Source organism: Homo sapiens, chromosome 8 (assembly GCF_000001405.40).
Source record: "Homo sapiens chromosome 8, GRCh38.p14 Primary Assembly".
NCBI classification, from domain to species: Eukaryota; Metazoa; Chordata; class Mammalia; order Primates; family Hominidae; genus Homo; species Homo sapiens.
In genome coordinates, this window is record NC_000008.11 from 132750475 (window position 1) to 132773021 (window position 22547).

The following is a 22547-nucleotide window of genomic DNA, read 5'->3' on the forward strand; positions in this document are numbered from 1 at the left end:
TTTTTCTGTAGTCCAATGGTCTCAAGGGAATGACCTATATAATGCATACTTGATTCCAACTGAAGCCAACCTCAACCTAGTTCAGACTAAACCAACCTACTCCACTGACTTCCAAACATGTGTGGACTCATTATTTTATATCATTAAGATTTGATAGTTATTTGTTACACAGCTTTATTGTGTCAATAGCTGACTGATACAGTCAGCATATGGGTGGTTTTGAAGCAAAAGTAAATGAATGTGATTATCCCAATTTACCAATGCAAAGTGAACTCATCCATCTTCTTTCCTCAGACATGCCCGTCCTTTCTTTCTGATCTTGGTAAATTGTCCTACCATACATCCAGTTGACAGAACCCGAGTCCTAAGATTCATGCAAGTGTTCTTCCTTTGCTTGACCTCCCACATCTTTGGATGATGAAGATTCCACCCCTTTACCATTCTTTTTATCTATTTCCCCACCTTTACTGTTTCATCATTGCTATCACAACTTGCTTTTAATCTGTGGATACCTTGCCTTCATTTTTCCCATTGTACTCACTCTCTACTCACATATTCACACACATCCAACTACCCATCCTTTCCATAGCAGTCACTATTATCTTTCTAAGAATAAATCTGATAATTTATCAATGCCTGCTCCCTCTTTATCTATAGAGTACTGCTCAAACTTCTTAGCCTTAAATTTAACCCCTTTCATCCAGCCCCTGCTCCCATGCTCAGTCTTCTTTCTTACAAAACACCCCTTCCCACCCTAAGTTTATTCCTACCAAACTATTTGCTATTCCCTAAGTTTTACCAGGGTCTCTCAGAACCCCAGACCTGTGCCATCTTTCCAGAAGTTCTCTTTCCTACTTTTATTTTAACTAACATCCTACATTTTTCAAGACTTAAATCAGCCATCACCACCACTAGTGAGTTTATTTTTACCTATTCCCCAAGTAAAATGGATCTCCTTTCTTTTATCCCTTCACTGCACCCTGACGGGTTTCTATCCTGGCACCCGTATTATTTCATTGCTTTCATTTGTTTTCATGCTGGCTATGCCCATTCCCTCTTACCCTTTGTATTTCCACAGTCTGGAGCAATAATGGGCTCCTTATAAAAGACAGTGGGTGAATAAATGAATGAGTGAACAAAATTAATGGATGGATTGACCTGTTGACAGGTCCCCTCTTACCCTTTGTATTTCCACAGTCTGGAGCAATAATGGGCTCCTTATAAAAGATAGTTGAGTGAATAAATGAATGAATAAACAATTAATGGATGGATTGGACTTCAGATTTCTTTCTGTAATATGCTCTGCTTACCTAACTAAGTTCTCCTTATACATAACGCTGGTCTGGGATGGGTTCAGAGTTATGTTGCCATCTTTGTCGCACAGGAAGCTGTCTTCAGTCCAAATATAGTAGCCATTGGTGAGGAGTCTGGGACTTCGGCGACAGGTATAGTGGGAGCCTGTCAGGGGATCTATGGAGCCGCATTCAAAAGAATGGTAACCATCCAGGGAATCACAGGTGAAACTAAGAAGGAAAAGATAACGCACTTTAAATCTCTATTCAGTACATCCAGTCCCAAATAAACCATGTCTCATCACTGTGAAGGAAAATAACATCTTTGCATCCATGACTGTCAATTACTTCTGCAACCATTAGGAATGTCACTCTTAATGTTCTGGGCTTCATCTCCTCACCTATGACAGCGTTGAACTACAGAAACTTTAGCGTTTCTTTCTATTTTAAACTTCAGTGAAAACACGATGGCTAATCACTTTCCTCACCATATGGTTAACCTACGTTTGATGTTAGTCTATTGTATTTTTTTGGATGGGATGGTGGAAGCTCAAAATCCCCTCTACTCTCTTACTTTGAATAGCCCTCCAGTTGCCAGATCTTTAATCTTGTCACTGTAGTGACACATTATAACTATGTAGCCACCAGAAACACGGTGAACATGCAGTCAAAATGATCATTTTTGGCCTTTGCAAATTTCCCTCCAGGCTGGCTGTACAAATGGGCACACAGTTACCTTCCCTGATTTGGTATCCAGGGAAGGCCCATAATTCCTTGAGTAAATCTATATGTGTCTTAGTTTTAAAAAGCAATCACATTGAGTTAGGCGTGGTGGCATGTGCCTATAGTCCCAGCTACTCAGAAGGCTAAGGCAGGAGGATCCCTTTAGCCCAGGAAGTTCGAAGCTGCAGTGTGCTATTCATGCCTGTGAATAGCCACTGCACTCCAGCCTGGGCACCATAGCAAAGACCCTGTATCTAAAGGAAGGAAGAAGAGAGAGAGAGAAAAAAAAAAGGGAGAGAGAGAAGGAAAGAAAGGAAGAAAGGAAGAAGGGAAGGAAGAAAGGAAGGAAGGAAGGAAGGAAGGAAGGAAGGAAGGAAGGAAGGAAGGAAGGAAGGAAGGAATCACATGGCCCTATAATTGAAAGGCAACCAAATTATTGTGAAAATGTTTCATAAATGCAAAGTTTCTTGAGGTGAGCTTTGGTGGAAGCCTGGTGACAATAGTAACAGAGCCATGTTGGAGAAAAGAATATGTTATGTGTTCTTTCTTCAAAACTGCTTGGTTTTTTTCCCTCTTTTCTCCCTTAAAAATTATTTCTCTTTGTCCTAAACCCCAGCTAATCTCACTGTGATTTTTGTGTATGTATGTCTGCCTCAGTAATTATTTTATACATTACTGGAGGGCAGATACTGTAAGCCTAAAAAATGTTCAGTATGTAAATAAACTCAATGCCAGTTACTGAACGAAATCACCTGACAGGCTATGGAAATCTGGTAAAACCTATGAAAATATATATTGTCTGAATATATTTGAATTCTTGGGGTGGTTTTTTGTGAATCAATTAACAGCACTGATAGTATAATAGCTCTCATGTGCTCTTTACCTTGATGTTTTCAGTAATTTCTACATATTATGTATTCCACTTAATTGCATAAATTGGGACCATATGCTTCCAGAAAATCACAGATTCTAAGAATCAGGAGTTTTGGCGGTCATGTCTGCAGCCCCACCAAATTCTGCTTGTTCCATCTGCTGTATTTCCGACAAACATTGTCCCGTCTCTGCATGCACACCTTCAGTAAGAAGGACCCCACACTTACTAAGCACCCCCACAACCCTTCACTGAACAAATATGGACTGCAGCATAGTGGACAAGACAGGGAATCTGAAGTCAATCCCCCTCTAAGCCCATAATTCCAACTCTGTCATTGCTTAGGTGAGTAACATTAATCCAGTCACTTAGCCTCTCAGACTGTTTCCTTATCTGTAAAACGAGAAAAAAATCTCCATTATCGGGTTATCTTAATAATTAAATAATGAAATAAATGGTCTGTGCTTAGCACCTAGTATGGGCTTAATAAATGTTCACTTCCTCCCTTCTTTTCTTTCCCTTCCTTTTCTGTTCCTTCTATCTTCCATTTGAGATCTATTCAGCTATTTAAAGAGAGTTTCCATGTCCTCCCTGGGTCCTCACTTCTCCATACTAAAAGCCCTCCAGTTCATTTAATTCATCTTTACATGACATGATGTAGTTTTGATCCCTTAGCTATCATAGTTTGATGGCTTTTCTCTGAGTATTCTCCACTTTTTAGAGTTCCTCTTAAATATCATGCCAACCATAGAACCCAGCCCTTTAGGTGTGTCTGCCCAAGGGATATAGGGACTATCACCTCCCTCATTATAGAATCCATGTCTTTAGCAATGAAGCTTAAGTCACATTAGCTTGATTCTTTTTTTTCCCTCCAGTTACCAACATATTATCACACTATTAAATAGACTATCAAGTCTATGGCCATACCACCCTGAACGTGCCTGATCTCATCTAAATAAACTATCGATTTCTAGTCTTTTTCCTGTATATTTAGATGTACCTTTCCTCTCTTAGACTTTTGGACCAATTTTATATTACAAGGTCAATATGTAATTAAGACTTTGCAGATAGAGCTAGGTTTATACCCTTGGTTTCAATCCTGGCTCTACCTCTTGCTAATTATTCTCTCCAAGGTTTAGTTGTTGTTGTTATTGTTGTTGTTGTTTTTAACAAATGTGAATCTGTGCAGTAAAGATCAACCAAAATAAACCTCATAGATTTCTATAAATATTTAATGTCATAATTTAATGGAGGTTGTTAATGCCTATGCTTTCCATTGCCTAAGGGTGGTAAGCTAAATATGTTGGCTACTATTTGAATGGCTATTCATTTTGTGCTGTTAGAATTTTGAGGGATTCTGATTATGTTACACAAAACTTTTAATACATTTACATGATGTCATACAAATATGTTATCCCTGGAATCTCTATGTCCTCAATCCAAATCATTGATAAAAATATTGAATAGTACAGGTAGAAATTTGAGACTTTGGAAACATCAAAAGGGACTATTTCCAGACATGCACTGACCCACTTTAACAGCACATTTTGGTTCTTCTTACCCCTATTAATAAATATGAAAATGGAGGCTCCAGTAGGTTAAATTCATTGTTCAATAACTGACGGCTTACAAGTGGGAGAGGCAAGGTAAAAATCTAGATCTTTTTTTCTCCTACTCTAGTGCTCTTTCTTCTACATCCTTTTGCCTCTGTGAGAATTAATGGGGCAACTATATGGTGCTGGACGCTTACGAGGTTTCAGAGTTCTGGACCTGTATTTCTATCTGCACTCCAATTTCCAAGTCTTCAACATTCAACAGTTATCAACTGTAGCCTCCCTAATCCCCTGGCATCTTTCCTTTATAATGCCCCTACCTTTATCTATCCTCTCTTGATTGTAAACGAAATGAAGACACTCTTCCAACACCTGGATCATAGTTTAAAAAAAGGACCCCTCTGAACAATATCAAACCTTTAGAGCAGATAACAAAATTTTCTCTAGATCTTGACTCTTGCTTCATTCTGCTCTAATAAATTTAGTAGTGGATTCGTTTTTAGCAGGTCCTTTCCAATTGGTTTCTAAAGTCCAATCCCACAGCAAAGTCCAGCAACAAGCCCAACTGCCCAAAGACAAAGCCCTTTCTTTTCTTGTGAGGTTACTGACTAGGCCTTAGAAGAGCCTAAATCATGCCTCCTAGGATAGGACAAAGACTGGTTGGTGAAAGGACAAATATCATTAGGACCATTAAAAAATGTTAGATGATTACACACTGATAGATTACAGAAGGTCTCTCATCCTTCTACACATCTGCCAAATGCTCTACTGAATTTCTGATATTTTTACATCTAAAAGCTTATATACAATGAATATATGCACTCAGCCCTGTAATAAAATACTGTTTCAAATTAATGAGAGTTATTGAACACTTAGCATGAGCCTGGCCCCCTATTTTGCCCTTTATCTACTCTTCACAAATCTCTACAAGCTAAGTATCATTATCCTCATCATATAGCAGGAAAAAATGATTTACAAAAACAGCAAATTACTTGGATATTTTACATAGCTAGTAAGTGGCAGAGCTATGATATGAAGCCTAGTCTATCTGACTCTAAAACATGGATTCTTTCCACATGTGCCTCTGTTCATATTGATTCGTTTGCTAGTATCAGGAGGCCTACAATTTACAAGAAGGAGCAGGTCCTAAAATGAATATATGATCTGTTTATGCTATAGGCACATTTCACAATGCTAGGGGAAACATCAACTGATGTCTGTATAAGGAATAAGAGACAGTCAGAGAGTCATTAAAAAAAGAAAGAAAAAAGACTTCCTTGTAGTACTTCAAGAAAATGGTAGACTGCACATGTTTTGGTAGAGCATAAAATTCGGCCATTGGTATAGAATTCTGTTGCTCTTGTAAAACAAGATAGGAAAGCATATTTAAAAAGACATCAGATTGAGACAAAGTAACAATTCATCAGTATTCAATAGTTTCACCACTCACCAGAGAAACAATTCACAACTGCCCATATATTGACACTAACATATATATTATATATATATATATATATATATATATATATTCATTATTCTATTAGGCAAGTTTTTATTTAGTATGTACATGGCACCAAAAAGAAATAACCTTTCAAAACTAGATGATAGCTAAAATAATAATTTCAAACCAATAATACAACAAAGCAAGACATACAGGAAAATAATAATAATAATATAATAATAATTATTATTATTTTGAGACTCGCTCTGTTGCCCAAGCTGGAGTGCAGTGGTGTAGTCTTGGCTCACTGCAACCTCTGCCTCCCAGGTTCAAGTGATTCTCCCACCTCAGCCTCCCGAGTAGCTGAGATTACAGGCACATACCATCATGCCCGGCTAATTTTTGTATTTTTAGTAGAGACAAGGTTTCACCATGTTTTACCCAGGCTGGACTCAAACTCCTGACCTCAGGTGATCCACCCACTTCGGCCTCCGAAAGTACTGGGGTTACAGGGGTGAGCCACCATGCCCAGCGAAGAATGATTTTTTTTTTAGACAAGTCTCTCTCTGTCGCCCAGGTTGGAGGGCAGTGGTGGGATCTCGGCTCACCGCAAGCTCCGCCTCCTGGATTCACGTCATTCTCCCGCCTCAGGCTCTCAAGTAGCTGGGACTGCAGGGGCCCGCCACCACGCAGCGCTGATTTTTTTTTTTTTTTTGTATTTTTAGTGGAGACGGGGTTTCACCGTGTTAGCCAGGATGGTCTCCATCTCCTGACCTCGTGATCCGCCTGCCTCGGCCTCCCAAAGTGCTGGGATTACAGGCATGAGCCACCACGCCCGGCCAGAATGATTATTTTTTTAAAAGAAGCCCCATAGTATACCTTGGGAAAATGCACGTGGGAGACAGCTCTCCAGCATATTCTCTTTCCAACCTGGAAGAACCTGCATAAACAAATGAGAGAGAAGTAGAATGTATCATACCTGATCAACAGTTACATATGTTGATACATGTATCAATATGTATAATTGCAAACAGTGGAGGCATGTAAGAAGATGGGAATAGCTGATGTTCCAGCTTCAGCAGGAAGACTCCAGTAGTGCAGGTACCCTTATCACCAGGGATCTACCGGAAGCAAGACATAAACTAGAGGCTTCTATCTTCTGTTCCTTCATCCACATAACACTCTAGAAGTTCCGGGCGCAGTGTCTCACTCCTGTAATCTCAGAATTTGGGAGACCGAGGCGGGCGGATCACAAGGTCAGGAGATCTAAACCATCCTGGCTAACACGGTGACACCCCGTCTTTACTAAAATATACAAAAAATTAGCAGGGCGTGGTGGTGGGCGCCTGCAGTCCCAGCTACTGGGGAGGCTGAGGCAGGAGAATGGCGTGAACCTGGGAGGCAGAGCTTGCAGTGAGCTGAGATCGCTCCACTGCACTCCAGCCTGGGCGACAGAGCAAGATTCTGTCTCAAAAAAAAAAAAAAAAAAAAAATTTCTTAGTGCAGAATGAGGCAATAATAAATCATTAGCATCAAACTGAGCTCATGTAAGGATGGGAAAAAACGTCTTGTGTGAAGCAGGAGAAAACCCAAATCAATTACCCAATGTGTTGGTTATTGCAGCTTACTCAGTAATCTGAGGAATTCAATCATTGTTCTAGACTCTCCCTCATTAGTGCATATTAAGACACTTCTACTGTAAAATAATGAGCAAAAGACATTAGTGGGGAAGAAATAAAGTTTTGTTTTGTTTTATATAACATTTTTCCAAAGTATAAAGACTGTGAGTATTCTTAATTATAGAAACATCATCCATTCATTCGTTCCATTTTAACCAAAGGCGTGGCAACAGACTTTACTTGGAGAAAGTTGGAGTTGATTAATATTCTAAACTCTAAAGCAGAATTTTATCGTGTGCAGAGATGGTGTCAATAGTCCTAACAGACAAGCTAGTGAAATTTGATTCCATTATGGACAATTAGTATCTAGGACAAAGAAAGGAATTTAGACTTTCAGATTGGGCTGGTTGATTTGTAGGGAGAAAACTGTGGGTGTGTGAGGGAGAGTTAGAAGTGGGGTTTTGGGAGAAAATAACAAGAGGAAGGAAGAAACTTGAAACCACTACCGTTTTAACAGCGCTCTTATTTTCTGCAAGTAGCTATCAAAATCATTCAGCATTTTTTATATACAAACAGTTTTGCATCTTAATAGTAGCTGATAAACAATCTCCTTTCACATTTATGCACAGGCATCTAAAAAAAAACGGTGATTTTTTTTTTTCTACTAGAAGGAAAAATACCACATTTCTTTCAAGGAAAAAAATGAAGTTAAAATCATTGCCAAAGTGAACACTGGCATTTAAGAAGCACAAGCTACTGACAGATGGTTAATGGTCTGAGTATCAGCAAAATCAAAGCAAGGAAATTGCTAAAAGGAGTCTAATCGTTCAAAAGATAATTGCGTATCACAGTTCTTCTACATTTACTTGCTACTGGTGTTGACATCAGTTGAGATATTCGGTACATCTTGGGAAGGCCGCTTGCTCAAACTTCACAGATTCTCTGCAAAAGATGTTAAAAAAAAGGTGGACTATATATTAAAAATAGAAAAATTATGCCAAAACAGATGGCATCTACTAATTGCACTAGTCAGATTTGTTTACTGAAATAATACAGAGATACAGAATTGAAGGTAGGAGACCAGACTGAAGACACAACCCCTCTAAAGTTGTGTCTGCCTCTATGACTGAACATTTTCCATTGCCTCACTCAGTGCATCTCAATAACATTTTTCTGTAAATAAGAACCACACTTTATTTGGAAAATCTAGACTTAAAAAGGTTGATTTGTAATCCAAAGAAAATAATGAAAGTGAGGTATTTGATTAAGAAATCTTAATAAAATGACTGGTTCTAACAGTCATTTAGCCCCAAAACAAACTTACGTGTATTTTAATCATCTGACACAAGTCAACTTCATTATCAAGTTTCAAACAGTGCTTGGAGATTGGTGTCTGTCTTTTTCCCAACAACTTGAACCATTGACAGGTAGTCACAGAGAGTGATTTTAATAGTTTTTATCAGCCTGGACATTCCTAAACAGCATAAGTAATGTTGCACTAAAGATAGCATACCATTGGGAAGATTTTAGAACTTAGTTCCCATGAAGACATGATTTAATTTCTCAATTACTAATTAAAAACATATCAAAGTATGTAAATTATGCAAACTTTGATCATTTACTGTTCATCAAATAGAACCAACTTCTGTTGACTATGAAACTTTGTATATAGTATCACTATCCTAATCGCTTTATAAGGTAGGAGTAAATTATTTTCTGATTCACCACTTATGGCCACATTTTGTAACATGAGAACTAGTAATGGATTGTTTTTGTAGCTGTAATTCAATCAATCAAACCAGGCTAATTCTACAGCTTCAAGTTGAATATTTCAATAAATTATATATAAACCCTATTAGGAAAATATAAACCTGGTTTATAGAGACCTGTAAAGATGTCAGGAGAACTTTCTGGCCTTCCTTGGAAGATTTCTAAATCAAAGCACACATTTACAAATTTCATTTGTTTGGGATATAAAATAATCCCAGTGTAATGTAATATATTAGTATGTTACTTGTTCTTTTCATTTTTGATCAATATTGTACGGGTATGCCCAGCCCAAATTACCTTATTTTAGTGTTCCCCAAGTATTAAGCTTAATTTTAAGCCTATAAATCCTGCAGCAAAAGAAGGTCTTATTGCTCTATCTCACAAGTGCTTAGAAGAATCTACAGGCAGTACACTGACATTCAATAGAAAATTAGTAACAGTAGGAAAAAAAAAAGCCCTTCAGTTACAGATCTAAAACTTTTCAAGAAACAGAATCTGCCAGTTCCATCAAAGCGACACATCTATTCTGAAAAATAATGTGTGCATACGTGTTCCTTCCAAAGGGAGTTCCCAGCCTCTTCTTCCAATTGACAAAGGACAAAATTATTACTGAAATACGAAGCTTCCTGTGGTTGACAGTGGAAAAATTGAGGACTGAGCAGTTCCTCGGCTGAAAAATGTCTGAATGTCAACAGGTGCAGAAGTCTCTTAATAAAGGGAATCCCACCCTACCTTCTTCTCACAGATGCCCACGCACATTGCTGTGCACAGGTGCTTGCAGAGAAGTTTTGTCTTCGGCAGCCTCTTGTTCTCTTGTCTGTTTCCTGGTATAAATGAGTGTATAGTTCTTGGGAAAGTCAGTCTTACAACTTCTCTTGTTTTCTTTTGAAAACAGCCTGCGTAACCAGAGGCAAAGAAGCAGAATGAGGTCACACTTCCTGTTGGGCTCACATCAGTGGCATTCACACTGAGGAGTGTGCTGAAGATTTCAGAGAGTTTCCTGGGCCAGCAGCAGGGAATGTGCAGCCCATGTGTCAGGCCAGCTGGTTACACCCTGGTCACTGGAGGGGTGGTTTTCTGAGCTAACTTGTCACCTTTGGCTGCGAGAACGTGAGAAAGACTCAGCGAACTGACATTTCTTGCTCATCATATGGCCACATTCAGTTATAAGTAGTGCAGAGTAGTGATCTTTGTCCAAATCACTTAAATTTATTGAGGATAATGCACTGATGCTATTAAATTCAGAATACTATTAAATAGCAAGAGCTTGATCTTATGAAAATTTCTATAGAGGCAATAGGTTTATCTAATGAAGGTTGGACTTCACAAAAAACTCTATAGATGGCATTTTACATTTACATTATAGTAGAGCTCAAAGACTTGATGGTGTTTATGGGTTCATACACATCTGTACTACTGTAAGTGATAAAAGAAATGTACATTCAAATATATATTCCAGCAACATTGAGGTACCACTGCATAGTGGAAAGAGTGCGGATTCTGGGGTCACAAGACAGAAATTCAACCTGTCTACCATCCTAGCTGTGTGACCTCAGATTTGTGACTTACCCCTCTGAGTTGCAGTTTTCTCAATTATAAACATAAAAATATATATGTCATATGATGGCTTGAAGAATTAAATGAAATAAAAGAAATGAGAAATAATCGAGTCCTCAGCACAGATGTGCAAGGTGTATTCTTTATTTGTTTTCTTAAATCAAGTTCTCTTCTGAGGCACCAGTTGGTCCGGCTGGCGGAAAAGTTAATCTCATCCTTTCCTGGGGTTCCCTTTCCCCCTGAGGTTCTGCCACATGGCAGGATCTTCTGTAGAACATGTTCTAGGCAGCAGGAACTGTCAGGAGGAGGGCCCATCTAATTTCAAAGTTCTCTGTCTCTGGAACTTCATGTCTATTCTCCATCCCTTGAGTGTAGACTGAGGCTGCTGACATGCTCCTTGTAAATAAAGTAAGGCAAAGGTGCTGAGTTTCCACTACCATGATGAGGCTTCCATCTTGTTGGACTCTATTACTTTCTTGCTTGCCTGCTTTGATGAAGCAAGCTGCCATGGTGGAGAAGCCCATGTGTCAAGGAATCAAGAGTGGTCTCAAAAGCCAGTAAGGGTCTGATGCTCCATCCAACAGCCAGGAATCCAGCCAAAAACCAAGTGTGTGAGCTTGGAAGTGGATCCTTCTCCAGTTGAGCCTTGAGCTGACTGCAGCCCCATCTAATGCTCGATTGGAACTGGGAAAGACCCAGAAGCAGACAACCCAGGCTAGCCCTGCCCAGCTCCCTGGCCCACGCAAACTGGGAAGTGACAAATGGTATTTCAAGCCACCACGTTTTGAGGTAATTTGTTACACAGCAACACATAGCAGATGCATAGTCCTAACACAGGTCACTTCCTGAGCCATCTGTCATTGCTGACTCTCTGCTGCTTTAGTGACTCCTGTAGAATATAGTCACATTTACTCAAGGCTACTCCTGGTCACATCTGCCTAAATTTAACAGACAGCTATTCTGCTTCACAGCTGTCTGGTATTCTCTTTACTGGAATTCACAGTTCTCTTCTTCTCCTTTTCCTGTTTTTCTTATCCCTCATCCTCCCTCTTCCAGCCTTGGCTTATCTCTTCTAGATGAGGGAGGAAAATCTTTCTGACTTATTCGAGACCCTCTGCTCTTCCTGTGCCCACAAATCCACTTTTCCGAAGAGCTCACATCAGAAAGACTTTGGTCTACTTTTTTTTTTTTTAAAGATCTGGCACATATTAGAACCTTATTATTAATGATCATAATAATTGCTAACTTTAAGGAGTGCTTACTATGTACCAGGCACTGTTCTAAGGTCTTTCCACATATCAACACATTAATTGTTACATCAATTCCATGGGAGATGCTGTATTATTATTCTCATTTTACAGAAGAGCAAACTGAGTTTAGAGAGTTGCCCAAATTCACATAGCCAGTACGTGATGAGTAAGTAGAGCTAGGATTCAAACCCTGATGAGATGGCTCTCGAGTTTGCTTTCTTAACCTATAAGTGTAATGATCATATCCAACGTGTGTCAGCATTTTCTACAAACCAGGCACTGCACTAAACACTGTACATATGTAATCTTGTTTCAACCTCACGTAGCCCTAGAAAATAAGTGCAATTGTTATCCACATGCAGGACAGAGGTTTATAGAGTTTGCATAAATCTTTCAAAATTGCCAATGGCCAGAACTAAATTCCAAACCTATGGTTCCCCTCTCAATCTTCTCTCTTGAGACCCACTCATCTTCTTCTTGTTTCTCATACACTAGACACGGGTCTACTTCAAGATCTTTGAGGTTAGTGTTCCCTCACCCTAAGGGTCACAGGGCTTTCTTCCTCCCCTCCCTCAGCTCTTTTCTCCACTGCCTTGCTACTAATTAATTGCCCTCCACACCACTCCCTAGTCTCTTCCTGCTTTATTCTTCTCCTTAGCACTTTTTACCAAGGAATATGTCACACAATTCATTCCTTGTAATAAGAAACGTACTCCTCAGCCAGAACATGAGCATTAAAAGAGCAGAGAATATTGTCATTTTGCTTCATTTTAATAGCCCAAGTATCAAGAGTAGTGCTTCCCATATAGTAGGTTATCAATTAATGTTTGTGGAATTAACAAATAAATTAATTACATCCAGGTAGACTTGCCTTCAGAACCTTTATTCTGCATGTTATAAATCAATGTTTCTAAAAGCATGTTCCACAGAATATTCAGTCCTCCACTGTTAATGGAGGTGATGCGTGTGGATGGGGAAAAGACGAGTGGCAAATTTCAGTACAAAAAGTTCTAGAAAGCATAGGTCTCTAATAGAGGTCACTATAGAATCTTTTAAATGATACTCGGACTTGCTACTATACACAGGAAACATGGTCTCACCATCTGTCAAAATTATTTGCCTTGAGAATCTTTTGGTCACATAATATCTCCCAAGACCCCAGTTCCAGAGCTATGTGTTGCAAACGTTCATGTGTTGCAAATGAATCACAGAGGATCTTACAGAAGTGAGGGAATTGGAGACAGTGTTTCATATCAGCTCCCACGTAAAGCCAAAACTGTTAGTCCCTAAGATACTCTTTGACAGGCGGAATGCTAAAGAACTCATGTTAGGAAATGCTGACATAAATTGATGGACTTGACAAATTTAATTTTAACACACTACAAACAACGAACAAACATGTCTGCATGCTTCCTTAAATCCCTCATGTACTCATGATCTCTCTTCCTACCCAAGCCTCATCCTGCTCTGGAACACTGTGTCCCATTAGATGGCAATATCTTCCACCCAATCACTCATGCCAGAAAACTGGGAGAAATTGCGACTCCTCTCCATGTAGCTTTTGAACACGGACTTGAAATCTTGATTCCTCTTCATGTAGCTCTTAGGCTTATCATCTAAGTCTCCATCTCCACTATCTGCTCTAGGGCTCCAGCTACATCAAATCAGTATGCATAAGCCATATAATAATAGCTATCAATAAGGTACATTACATAATGAAAAATATGAACTGGGAGGTTGTGTGTGTGTGTGTGTGTGTGTGTGTATTGCACTTGTTGCCTGGACTTCCATGCCAACATGCCAAAGTCACTTGGCCTCTCTCCAATACACTCCCCAAGCCATGGTCAGAATGACCTCTCCAATAGAATATCTGATTATGTCACTCCCCTGATTAAATTCATCAGTGCTTGCCCTTGCTCCTCTCTCCTGTGAAGTTCAAAATCCTCTTCATGGCCTGCCAGGCCTGGTAGGGTCTGGACTTGACTATTTTTCAGCCTCATTGTTCCCTCAACAGGCCCCATCTGTCTTTTTAGAATTCAACCATGCTGGCTTCCTTTCAGCTTCTCTAGCTTTGCTCCACCTCAGGCCCTTGGAATGTGCTATTTTCTTCATCTCCCATCTCTTTCTGAAAGAGCTTTTTCTCTGAGCAGCCTCTCTGACCCTCCCAGACCAGGTTATGGATCCCATAGCTGTCTGCGCTTTCCTTTCAGAGGATGCATCACAATTGGAACTAATGAGCCAAGTTTCTGTCCATGTTGGTTCCTCCTGCTACACTGTGAGATCTCAGAGAATAAGGAGAATGCTTTTCTAGTTTGCTATTACGGTTTCTATCATTATCATAGTAGGCACTTAATAATATGTGAATAAGATTTTTTATCATCCAAGTCTGGCTAGGTTCTCTGCCACACATAGCACACAAGGGCCAGAAGGAGATATATGGGCCAAAGCCTGGACAGGCTACTAATCTAGAAGGAGTTGGAAGCTAGCAATTTTATCATAACAGTTATGCCACAGTAAAAATCAACCTTCAAGCCTTAGTGGCATACAGCAGTAAGCTTTTATTTTCCCACTTGATGGCTTTGTAATATGTTAACTTGGCCAAGTGAACCTACATTTCTCAGAATTCCTTTTTTGCATGCTCCTGGTTAAGATAGGCCCTAAAAGCAACTTGTGCGAGATTTGGAAGATGAAAGTGGAGCTGAAGCTGTGTGTATTTTTGGAAGGTCCCCGAAAGTTAGACTTTGCGGCAAGCTCATGCACGTTTCCACAGACCTGCTGGCTTGATGTAAGGACTCGGCCCAAAGCTCCAGTCCCTGCAGATCACTTCCTTCCATTTTACAAGTCCTAGTAGAGGAGAGGGTGTGGCTCTGCAGAAAGAATGCCAGCTTCTGTTTAGAGTATACCCGGCAATGAGGGTAGAGTCTCAGAGATAGGAAAAGGCCTATATGGCTTTTGGTGATAGACAGATGCGTGTTCCAGATGGTTCTTTGTGGATTCCAGTTTTCCCTGCTCTCCTCTGCTTCTTGTCCATCTTTTGATACTGACCAACTGTCTAGTGATTTCAGGCTCAGCACCCCTCCTAAGAAACAGCCAAACTGAGCTCGCTTACCAGTGTCCATAATTATACAAGGTTCAATCTCTATTTTACACAATTGCAATTCTGGATCATTCCTAGTGGTTCTGCTTCTCTACTTGAATCTAACACATCTTTTTATTATTATTATTACTATTATTATTATTATTATTATTGTCTTTTGAGACAGAGTCTCACTCTGTCGCCCAGGCTAGAGTGCAGTGGCACGATCTCGGCTCACTACAGCCTTTGCCTCCCAGATTCAAGAGATTCTCCTGCCTCAGCCTCCTGAGTAGCTGGGATTACAGGCACCCGCCACCAGCTAATTTTTGTATCTTTTAGTACAGATGGGGTTTCACCATGTTGGCCAGGCTTGTCTTCATCTCCTGACCTCAGGTGATCCACCTGCCTCAGCCTCCCAAAATGCTGGGATTACAGATATGAGCCACCGCACCCTGCCGAATCTAACATATCTTGACCTGTGTTAACTGCAAGTTGGCTGTAGCTTTGCTCCTTGTGCCATCATTCCTGGAGGCAGTACCCCTTGTGAGGGACTTCCCTTTCTTGCGGCAGAGGGAAGAGAACAGGAGGGCTGTCAGAAATACATAATGGCTTTTAAAGCTTTTCAGAGCTGACATCTGAAATTTCTACCCATATTTCCTTGGTCAAAGCATATTGCATGGTCAAGTTCAATGCCATCAGGATAGGGAAGTACACACCTCCAGGGGGAAGCACTGTAAGTCATAGGGTGATGGGTAGATGTATATCAGAAGTACATGGGGGGCGGGGGGGAAAGGAAGAACTGGGAATTGTTGTATAATTTACTACAGCCCTCCACATTGGTCACAAATATTTAGATTCCTCCTTTTTACTTTAAAAAAAAATGCTGTATTCAGCTAGGCACGGTGGCTTATGCCTACAATCCCAGCATCTTGGGAGGCCGAGGTAGGCGGATCACTTAAGCTCAGGAGTTCAAGACCAGCTTGGGCAACATGAGGAAACCTTGTCTCTACAAAAAATAGCCAGGTGTAGTGGCTTAAGCCTGTGGTCCCAACTACTCAGGAGGCTGAGGCAGTAGGATCATTTGAGCAAGAGAGGCGGAGGTGGCAGTGAGCCAACATTGCGTACCCTAACCCGGGCAACAGAGCAAGACTCTGTCTAAAAAAAAAAAATAAAAATAAAAAAGATGCTGTTTTCACTTCATCTTTCCAGAGAACACGCCAAAATCTTATTTAATCATGGCAACAGACTTCCAGTCCAGAATCCCATAATAATCTCTACATCAATGTGGTTTCTCTTGATACAAAGACTTCTAAAACATCTTAGCCTGTATGTTCAACATTCAATACCAGAACAGAGATGGAGTAACTTCCATCAAAACTTCTCCTATTTAGCAAAAGAGTAATGGGGCTATTCTGAAACGGAATGATCAGTTTGATCAGTTGTTACAAAAGCCTTGTACCCTGTGAATAGGGAATGTTCCTTGATAGAGCTCTAATTCTGCTCCTCAGGGGTATTAACTCAGGCAACTGTGGCTCTTGTTTCTGCCCTCTGGAAAGTAAAAGTATTCCTTTTCCATTACTCTCCTCGGCCTCCTCTGAAGATTAGAGAATATGCGTTTCTTGGGGGCAGAGCAACCTTCTCAACTTACTTTCTGCTTGTAGAAGTTAGCAAATGGGAAGATAACTTTGAAATTTTTAGTTGTCATAATCTCTTTGATACCAAGCTGGTACCTCTTTGACTGTACATTCTATTCTAAGAACATATCAACAACTTTTCATGCATTTGATTCCAGTCAGCTTCCTGTGTCAATATTCATGCTTATAATTGTTTTGAGACATACCTACCTCTTTGGTTTTTTTTTTTTTTTTAGATAGAGTCTTGCTCTGTTGCCAGGCTGGAGTGCAGTGGCACGATCTCAGCTCACTGCAACCTCTGCTTCCCGGGCTCAAGCAATTCCCCTGCCTCAGCCTCCTGAGTAGCTGGGACTACAGGTGCGCACCACCATGCCCAGCTAATTTTTTGTATTTTAGTAGAGACGGGGTTTCACACCATGTTGGCCAGGATGGTCTCGATCTCCTGACCTCATGATCTGCCCGCCTTGGCCTCCCAAAGTGCTGGGATTACAGGTGTGAGCCACCGCGCCCGGCCTAGCTCTTCGTTTTTGACTGCTAGCAGCTTGAGCTTATTGGACAACCTGTTGCTTAGGCATCTGTCCTGTGTCGGGTGAATAATTCATGGGCATGTCTCTGAAGAACTTTCAAACTCTTTAGCTTTATGAGAAAAAGATTATGTTGGCGGTATGAGTTGTGATGACATTGCGAGATCACAATGCCATTAAGCAATTATGTTACTTATACGTAATATGGGGGTAGGGATGGGGATTACATATACTAGTATTTAGAGAATATGACAATAATTAAATTATAAGTGATGTACTAAGAAAGGACACAGAAATCAGAAAAGTGGCCAAACAGGCTAGATTTGATTTATTTAAACTGACTCACCTCAATTTCCTTGTAATAACACTGGAATAGTTCATGTCCAGGTAGTGATAGAGAATGAGATTTTGGATGCTTTGTCCTGCTTTTTAGAATCTACAATTTCCACATCGTTAAATTCATTGTAGTACTTTCATTATTTGCCTTTAGATTTGATTTTCTTATACTTGGTGTTCTCAAATTTCCTTTGGTCACAAATATTTACATTCCTCTCTTTTACTTTAAAAAATGTTGTGTTCAGCAGGGCACGGTGGCTTACGTCTGTAATCCCAGCACTTTGGGAGGCTGAGGCAGGCAGATCATTTGCTGCTAATGTGTCTTTTTAGGATTTATAGGATATTTCCCGCAACTAGAATTCTGTCCCTCAAAAATGCTATATGTATATCCCTACTGTTTGCTCAGGGTTCATTTTCAATTGTAGCATTTTTTGAAGACAACATAGTTATAAAAAAAAAATAGGAGAGAAAAGAAGGAAAACCAAAGGGTGTTTCTCCTCATTCTGGTGAAACTGGCTCTGTTGAATGTTTTGCAAAATCCAAAAGAGGAAGTAATCCGATACTTGACCACAAGGGTGTGTTGCCTCAATACTTTGACTAAGGCAAACCACGAGCTGTGCAATGCTTGTGCTGACAAATTATCTGCCCCTTCCCTGCTCCCTCTCCCTCCTGCAGAAGGGGAATTATTTCATTTGAATGTCCACAATTACCTTGGAGATAGTGTTATTGCTTTCTGGTCCTGGCCAAGAGGCCAGACATTTAGACAAATTGTGAGTGACCAGTTAGAGCCCAAATGCTGACCCTGCACATTCTTCCACACTAACACTTACAATGTATTGAAGTTATCTGTTTGCATGTTTGTCTACATGTCTACATTGTTAAATGTCTTAACAATGATCAGGAATTAAGCTTATCCCTTATGCTCCCTGAAACTAGTGCTGTGTGCTTGGCACACCACAGATGTTCAATAAACGCATGTGGAAAAGAAATGGAAGTAGAATATTTTCATTTGTCAGTTCTTGAATTGAAACTATAAAGAAGTGTAAGGCATTAATAATTATAAAGTCTGCATAGAACTCTTATTTGAAGCTTACTCATCCTTCAAAGCATATTTTGAATGTTTCTTCTTCTATGCTGTCTTTCTTGATTTGTCGAGTCAGAATGACCATATTCCAATAGTATCTTTATTTCAAAATGATTTATATTTAGCTTCATATTGTGTTTAGTTGTTTCTGTATCCATATCTGCATCATGACAAGTCAACTTTGAATGGGTATCTAATTTTATTTTTCTTCCTGTTCCCTTACTCTACATCACCCAGTCTCTAGCATTAGGTAAGAATTCAAAAAGAGTTTGTTGAGTGCTGTGAACTGACTGTGTGTGTCTCCCTGTCCCCTAAATTAATATACTGAAGCCCTAATCCCCAATGCAATGGTACTTGGAAGTGGGGCCTTTCGTAAGTAACTATGTAATGAAGGTTGAGCCTTCATGAATGAGATTAGTCCCTTAGAAGAAACATGAGAGAGATGATCTCTGTCTGTCATGTGAGGACACAGTGAGAAGGCAGCCAACTGCAAACCAGGAAGAATCCCAGGCACCAAATCAATTGGCACCTTGATCTTGGACTTCCCAGCCTCTAGAACTGTTAGGAATAAATTTCTTTTGTTTAAGCTACCCAGTCTCTGGTATTTTTTAAATAGCAGCACAAACTAAGACATTAAGTGATTAAACAAATAAATTAATGATGAATGAATGCATGCAAATAAATGAATATTGCATGCATGCATGTATGTTGTCTGCCATATTTCAGGATGCCACTAAATTGCTGCTAGCTCTGTTCTCAACGAAAAGAATGATCACTAAGAGAGTAAAAGTATTCACCATTTGGTGACTGTCAATTTGTATAGCTGCTGTGTTCTGTTGCTCACCCTCTCCTGCTGCAGTTTTAACAATCCACGGAAATGGGGATTGTACGTTGTAGAGACTATCTCTAAAATCAAACACCTACAGATTAGGAATGTGAATGTTAGGTCAATCTCTCACTAGATTTGTCTCTCATTTGGCTTGGTTTTCTAACTTTGCAAGCTAGGAAGAGAATTCTCAGCTTTGTTGAATGGCTGTAAATTGTAATTTGGAGTTACAGTTGTGTTGAATATTAGTTATTTTGTTGTCCAAATTCCAGTCTCTTTCTTTTAAGTAACAGCACTCGAATTTTGCATTAAAGAACCCACTCATTCCCATCGCTCAGTCCACGAGGTTTGGACCAGTCTTCACGCTTACCTGCCTGATAGGAATAGGAACCCAGTTTAAGCCGAATCAGTACAAGTCATCCCCATGGCCACCATACTTGGTTCAGATTTAGGCACCTAACTTTATCTCAGCCAGTGAGAGAAAGACTCCTAGTATTTGTTTTTACGGTCGCCAGGATGCTGTAATGTCTTAAGCTGTTGGGGATCCCCAGAATCAAGCTAAACCTTAAGAAGTAGAGTGAAAGATGTTATAATTTTTCACTGAATCAAACTCACACAGAAGGCAGACTTATTCCTTATCTTCTATTAACTCCCCAAACTGAAAAATTCCCTTTTTGCTTAAGCCTGTTTTCATAAAATTTTCTGTTACATGCGACAAAAAGAATCCTCACACACTGCGGGTCTGAATATTTCATGTACGTATGAATTGTTTAGGGTAGCTTGCTAAAATGCAGATTTCCAGTCCCCAAACCTAAGATATAAATCAGGGCCCAGGAACTTGAATTTTATCAAACAGTGTTGCATTTTAACAGACCATCTTGTTAAAACAGTGCCCCTGAGCCATATGCACATCTCCATAATGCAGATAATTGGCAGACCAAAGCTTGAGAAATACTGATATAGTTAATGCAAGAGACACTAGTTAACAATGATAAAAATCAGGAGAGGTGCAAAGTATCACATAGCAGCAGGAAGCAGAGACCATCCTTTGTCCTAAATCAGAAATGTGAAAATCCTTTGCAGTATCACGAGTGGATTCCATATTCAATGTACTTCTATTTATAAAATCTTTACTAATTTCTCATGATTATTTCTTCCTGCTTTATGTGTCATGACCAGATATCTCCGTTTGTCTGGAACTGTCCAGGATCCACCTGTCATTCTGGTATAATTATTAATAGCCCTTCCTTCCATTCTCAAAAGTGTTCAGGGTTGGATGATAAATTTTCTGTTCACTCTCTTGCTTCATGGTAATCTGCACACACACAAAAGAGTTCTTTGTCTCTCTTGCTGCATTTGCTGAAATAGACATACATATTTTTTCTATTTTATGACCCTTAGTAGCAGAGACTTTGATATCTTAGAATCATTATTGCCAAGCCTAAAAGTTTTAAAAATCTCAGAGATCCATGTGGCTCTGAGTAACATGTAAACTGAGTAACACATAAACTTACATATATACATATATATCAAAGTAATATATATTACTTCAATATTATGTACTTTGTATTTATAATATATATGTATTATTATTTACTTTAATAACATCATATTTCTTTATTTTATTTGTATATATAAGTATGTTTAAAGTAATCTGGAACACCCTATCATCCTTAGAGTTGGCTCATTCTAAGAAAGTGGAATATAAACCTACGAATCACAGTGAGGAATACATTAGAGAGGTGAAAAAAATGCTGCGGGAACACTGGGAGAGATGACATCTCTGCCAATTCATACATGGCCTAGAGCTCCTATTGCCAGGGATTAATTCTGGAATAACTATAATTTCTGTTCAGTTGATAAAGGGATATGGTGACAGAGGAAAGATAAGTGAGCTCTTTGGCAGGTGAGGAAAATGATGTCAGTGCTATTTTCAAAGATTTTTATGCACATGGAATGAAGAGATTTGACAGAGGCTATCACAGTAGTTTACGTTTCTGCTAAACTAACCTTAAAAAAAACTTGAACTGCTTTGATTTTCTTTACTAATGCTAATTGTAAATATTAAGTAAACACACAAAAAATAGCTATCTTGTGTTTTATTTGTAATCAAGGAGTATCTGGTATTTAGTAGTAACTTTTTTTCCTACCTTAAAATAGGTATACATTTGTTAAATATTCCAGGAGACATTATGGTTCCATATTCATATTTTTAATGTTGGAGGAATTTAGTTCAGTGATTTCTGCCTAACAACTGTTGTTTCAAGATAATTTGCTCACTGCTTGTTTGGTTCTGCTCAAACACAGCTGTAAGTTCTTTCTTTCTATATTTGGAGATGGAGTGACTGATGGCTGGGCATCAACCATCTGGAACAGGGTGTGCTGGGTGGAAGAGAGGAGAAGGGACAGATCAATGCACGGCTTCACTACATGGCCAGGGAGTCAGTACTAGAATTTTGTATATCCTGTATCCCTACTCTGATCCTGACCTTTGACTCTATGTGGTTAAAAGAGGAAATGACATCCTACCTGAATTTTTTGTCAGTTTTATCAGGCTTAGTGCCTTCCTTTTAGAGTCAATATTATATTCACACCCTCTCCACTTCCCAAAATTAACTTCATAAATAACATAACCAAGCTATACATATATACTTAAAAATCAATATGACTATGATAATATAAAAAATTTATGAAAATAATTCATAAAAATCATATATATTTCAATACTTAACATTCATCCATGTATCACAGAAATATATAATGAAGTAGTGAGGTGCTTGTATCTAAATTTAGATTTCCCTAAATGTAACAGCTACGCAACTAGACTGACACAGGTGCATTCTATCAGTGCCTCAAATACTATGAGTAATTAGCCGTTGGTGGCATGATATTTTAAAATGAGATAGACTCTTGATAATGTTCAGAAAAAAGGTCAGTGTTTCCTTACATTACACAGTTGCTTCATTCCTGTAAAATTTAATGTATATTAAA

At 39.3% G+C, this 22547-nt stretch overlaps 1 protein-coding gene across 14 annotated transcripts in view; it reads right to left on the reverse strand.

Annotated features, from left to right (window-relative positions):
- TMEM71 (transmembrane protein 71) overlaps positions 1-22547 on the reverse strand; it is a 70161-nt gene that overhangs the window by 44636 nt on the left and 2978 nt on the right. For 7 of the 14 annotated variants that reach the window (NM_001382396.1, XM_047421363.1, NM_144649.3 and 4 more), the window contains exons 1-4: positions 10002-10108; positions 8366-8441; positions 6760-6820; positions 1311-1523 (exon numbers count right to left, since the gene is read on the reverse strand). In NM_001382396.1, coding sequence (NP_001369325.1) covers positions 1311-1523; positions 6760-6820; positions 8366-8405 — 314 coding nt within the window. In that variant the 5' untranslated portion in view covers positions 8406-8441; positions 10002-10108. Of the gene's footprint in view, positions 1-1310; positions 1524-6759; positions 6821-7508; positions 7577-8359; positions 8442-9817; positions 10109-22547 lie in introns of those variants that run through there. The other 7 variants (NM_001382405.1, NM_001382404.1, NM_001382402.1 and 4 more) reach the window with 4 other exon arrangements.